Source organism: Homo sapiens, chromosome 18 (genome assembly GCF_000001405.40).
Source record: "Homo sapiens chromosome 18, GRCh38.p14 Primary Assembly".
In the NCBI taxonomy this organism is placed as follows: domain Eukaryota; kingdom Metazoa; phylum Chordata; class Mammalia; order Primates; family Hominidae; genus Homo; species Homo sapiens.
In genome coordinates, this window is record NC_000018.10 from 74,193,743 (window position 1) to 74,198,569 (window position 4,827).

Sequence of the window (4,827 nt, forward strand, 5' to 3'; positions counted from 1 at the left end):
CCCTCCATCACCCCCACTCATCCATCCCCCTCCACCATCCCCCCCTCCACGTGGATGGCTTCCATCAGCAGTTTCTCTCCTTCTTCAGGAGGCATTCCATGCAAAGGCAAGCACGAAGGCTTCCTTTCTCCTTCTTGACTGTACCCGCTCCTTGCCCCTTGCTTTTAACTTTGGATTGTTATTGGAGATTGCTCCATGGAAGCCATCCCATTCCCGTCACCAGCTGCCTCATGGTGCTTTGTCTGAACACATATCCTGTCCCTATCAGAGGTCTTTGCCAGCCTTCTGCTGTTCGAACGAAGTTGGATTGGTTGTTTCAGCTTTGATTTCTCTGCAAACGGCGAGGCTGCCCACTGTGCCAAGGCTCTGTTCCCAATGCCACCTACCAGCAGCTGCTTCCTCCAGGCCCTGGCCCTCTTGCTCCACTGGCTACTACCTAATCCTTAGTGTGGCCTGAGGAGTCCTGGAGAGGAGGAGGCAGCACCACTGTCCTCTGTTCTGCCACCTTAGCACTGAAAATCCCGGGGGGAGTTTAAAGATAACATGTCCTCCCCTGCCTCTTCATCATAGTTGAAAACCTCTCACCTAAAGTCAGAATCATTTTGAGGAAAAAAAGAAATATTATAGTAAGAAGAAATAATAATGTTCTTCACATTCCTTAATGAATTTTTTCATTGTAGATGGGCAAAGACTTGGAAAATCTCTTCTTTCAAAAAGATTTGGAAGTGGCATAGAAATATTAACATCTGAGGAGTGGCTGGGACTGCTAAGGGAGATGGTAGAATGAGAAGAGGAGAAGATCAGAAAGGAAAGGAATCAAGGTGTCCACAGGGCTGAGAAACTCACTACAGGCTCTTGGGAAGGATCTGTTTCCTTGCTCATTTGGGTTACAGGCAAATTCAGTTCCTCAAGATTGTAGGACTGAGGTCACTGCTTTCTCACTGGTTGTCATCTGGGGCCATTCCCAACTTCTAGAGGCTGCCACACTCCTGGGCTCTTGGTCTCCTTCCTCCATCTTCAAAGCCAACAGCAGTGGGATGAGTCTTTCACACTGAGAATCCCTCCTCCTCCTTTCATCTCATCTGCCTGACCCAGCCAGGAACGACTATGTGCTTCTAAGGATTCACAATGATGATGAGATAAGGTATGAACTTTGCCAAGAATCAGGTTCTTGAGTAAGCAACAGCAGCATCTGTTTCAAAATCCAGCTCCCCCAGCTACAGAGGCTGGGCTCTGACCCACACAGAAGCACTGCTCTCTCTCTCTCTCTTTTTCCCCCAACAGGGTCTTGCTCTGTCGCCTGGGTTGGAGTACAGTGGTGCCATCTCGACTCACTGATGCCTTGGCCTCCCAGGCTCAAGCCATCCTCCCACCTCAGCCTCCCAAGTAGCTGGACTACAAGTACGTGCCACCACGCCCAGCTATTTTTTTTTTTTTTTTTTTTTTTTTGTAGAGACGGGGTCTCACTCTGTTGCCCAGACTGGTCTTAAACTCCTGGTATCAAGTAATCCTCCCACTCCGGCTTCCCAAAGTCCTGGGATCACAGATGTGAGCAACAATGCCCGGCCAATGTTGCTCTCTTAACAAGCTCATTTTGGGCAAAGAGGAAACAGTGCCATGCCAGACCACAGTGGAGACTGGGGCAAAGGAAAAACCAGTATCTCTGATCGTGTCTTTACTGCAAGTGTTGACATTTTGTTAATCCTGGATATTCTGCATGGATTTTGATTTTAAAAAATATTTCTTTAAAGTATTATTTATCCAGGCCAGGTGCAGTGGCTCATGCCTGTAATCCCAGCATTTTGGGAGGCCAAAGCAGGTGGATCATTTGAAGTCAGGGGTTCGAGACTAGCCTGGCCAACATGGTGAAATCCTGTCTCTGCTAAGAATACAAAAATTAACCAGGTGGTGGTGTGCGCCTGTCATCCCAGCTACTTGGGAGGCTGAGTCAGGAGAATTGTTTGAGCTCGGGAGACAGGGGTTGCAGTGAGCCAAGATTGCGTCACTGCACTCCAGCCTGGGCAACAGAGCGAGACTCTGTCTCTCTCTCTCTCTCTCTCTCTCTCTCTCTCTCTCTGTATATATATATATATATATATATATATATATATATATATATGTGTGTGTGTGTGTGTGTGTGTGTGTGTGTGTGTGTGTATAATTTATCTTGATGACTGAGTTTTTGTCACTTCCTTTAAATTGGGTGCCCAAAGTGAGTCCTCCTCTTGCCTCCCCGAGTGCCAGAGCCCTGAGAGAAAATAAACCATTGCTGAGGAATCCAGGTATACAACTTTCCCAAATCCAGATTTATATGCTGCTTAGAATAGCAAAATCATTCCACCATACCAAAAATGGGCAATGGAACCAAAAACGTTCATAGTATTCTGAAACATACAGAGTTCTACATCTTGTCTTTGCGTCTTCCATTGATCCAAAGGAGAGAGGAGTAATGAAGATAAAGAAGACAGAACTGATTCTATTCCTTCCTGCCATGCGTTTAACTTTTCAGTACACGGCAGCAAACATGCTCAGAATGGTAGATTAATGCGTTTCATCAAAAGAGGGAGCCCTAACCTTCATTTGCTCATACCTGAGGCTTTGGCTCTTTGTTTGTCTTTGTAAATAGAGGAAGAATGTTAAGTATTCCATATGAAAGAACCAGGTATCGTTGAGTTGATTCTACTGTTTGCCTTTTGTCGTTTTGTTCTGTCTCCAAACCAATTCCCTCTGCTGGGTGGGTGAGAAGGCTTCCTGGTTCTCAGCCATCGTAACAGAAATTCAGGGTCTTCAGAGCCTAAATGACGCCTTACCCCTTCATGGCCACTAGAGGGCAACCGACACCACCATAATGAATTGATCCACCCAGGTTTATGATATTAACTAAGTTGATAATTATTTACACTATAAAGGCATTCTTTTGAGACCATTCTTCCTTTAGAATATCCTTTTAAAGGTATTTGTCTCTTTAAGATATATTTTATATAGCATTTATTTACATTTCGATATCCCCTAGTAAGTCCAATTAAATTTTAAAAAATTTGGACACAGCCTCCATGTATTCAACAAATATTTAAATATTACAGTTTGCATTCCATAAGCCTTTGTGCTAGACAATGAGGCCACAAATTTGAAAAAAGACTCAATCCTTGTCCTCAAGAATAGATGAATGGGAAGCACAAATAACTACAAGTACCAGAGCCAACATTTGCACAGGGACAGGCAGCATGGGTAAGGGAGTAATTCACTCTTTGGGGGAGGGAGAGAATTCAGCTAAACTTGTGTTGTATTTTGCACAAAAGGGATATGGCCAGTATGTAAAGTAACATGCATTTAATGGGAAAAGTGAAGCAATTGATATACTCTTAAAGTGTTTATTACTTGAAATGTTGGAAGTTTGAAATCATTCCCACTCTCTCCCAAAGGGAATATTTTGTTCATCACTGGATTTATCAGAGAAAAAAGCAAAAAGAAAGTGAGTACAAAATCCCCAAGACCTAAGTGCATTAGAAATCTCAAAGGGACTATGAAACATTCCCCTGATGTTTTTCCCCCATAAGAAGCTTAATTTGCTAAAACCCTTTCACTCCTGTAATCCCAGCACTCTGGGAGGCCGAGGTAGGCGGATCATGAGGTCAGGAGATCAAGACCATCCTGGCTAACACGGTGAAACCCTGTCTCTACTAAAAAAAAAAAAAAATACAAAAAGTTAGCCAGGAGCAGTGGCGGGCACCTGTAGTCCCAGCTACTCGGGAGGCTGAGACAGGAGAATGGCATTAACCTGGGAGGCAGAGCTTGCACTGAGCCGAGTTCACACCATTGCACTCCAGCCTGGGTGACAGAGGGAGACTCTGTCTAAAAAAAAAGAAAAAACACTTTAAAAGATATATTTTAATTTGAGAAAGAGTTTTTTAAATGTATTTTCTCCAAAAGCCACATTGTATATAGCCTGGTCCCGGAAATGCTCCTCCCCTCCCACTTGGAGAAGCCAGTAGGGCAGGAAGCTCTCCTGGTGCATGCCTGTGGGCCTCCTGTTTCTGTGAAGTGGGGTATGGCTCCTCTGTTTTGCATAACTGGAGAGCTGAAAGGGACATTAAACAAAGGGCAGAACATGAACCCGGAAATCCCTACCAGGCCAACGATCCAGAGGCTGCTCTCTGTGCCACTTCCCCATGCCCTGGGCATGGAGCTCACCGGAGATTAACCCAGCTTCCCTGAGCCCAGGGGAACCTAGGCTCGGCACCACCACCCCCAGGAGTTTCCCGGGATTGTAAGCCAGTGGCATAAGTCAGCTGGATGCAGAGAATGACCTGTAAACCCTGGGCAACATGCATCCTAGCTTTGCCTGCAGCAGTCAGAGCCAGGGGGCTGAGGAGGCTCGGCCGGGGCGGGGGCAGTGGTTCAGTCCCCCTGGTCCCTGCCCAGGGTTGAGGCAGAGGGAAAGAGAGCAATCAGGTTGTGGGTGGGGGCAAGCCCATGCTCAGCCACTGGGGCCATGCCAGGTGGGGACGTCCAGCTCCCGGACACAGTGCGCTGGGACAATGCCAGAGCCTGCAGGTCAGGCCATGGTGGGGCCTGGCTCCACTGCTCAGGCTTCAGGCAGAAGGGCACGAGGTTGGAACAGGAGCTGTTGATGGGACTCAGAGCTAGAAGAGGATGAGCAGGAAGAGAGGGCAAACAGAGAATGAGGGTATCCCCAAAGGAGGGTCCACTTGGATGACATGGCCAGCTCCAAGAGCCACCTCCAGGTCCTGGTCCTTACATCCAAATCCTAAGTCCTAGGGAGCAGCATGTCCATGCAGATGGGCTGTGCCCTGTGCCCCTCAGTGC

General features: G+C 46.9%; 1 annotated feature.

The window, feature by feature from the left end:
• Positions 3,859–4,515: an enhancer, noted in NCBI's record as "H3K27ac-H3K4me1 hESC enhancer chr18:71864836-71865492 (GRCh37/hg19 assembly coordinates)". NCBI's record gives its function as "activates a minimal SCP1, AML or CMV promoter by ChIP-STARR-seq in naive H9 embryonic stem cells {active_cell/tissue: H9 hESC(naive)}" and the evidence as "EXISTENCE:reporter gene assay evidence [ECO:0000049][PMID:30033119]".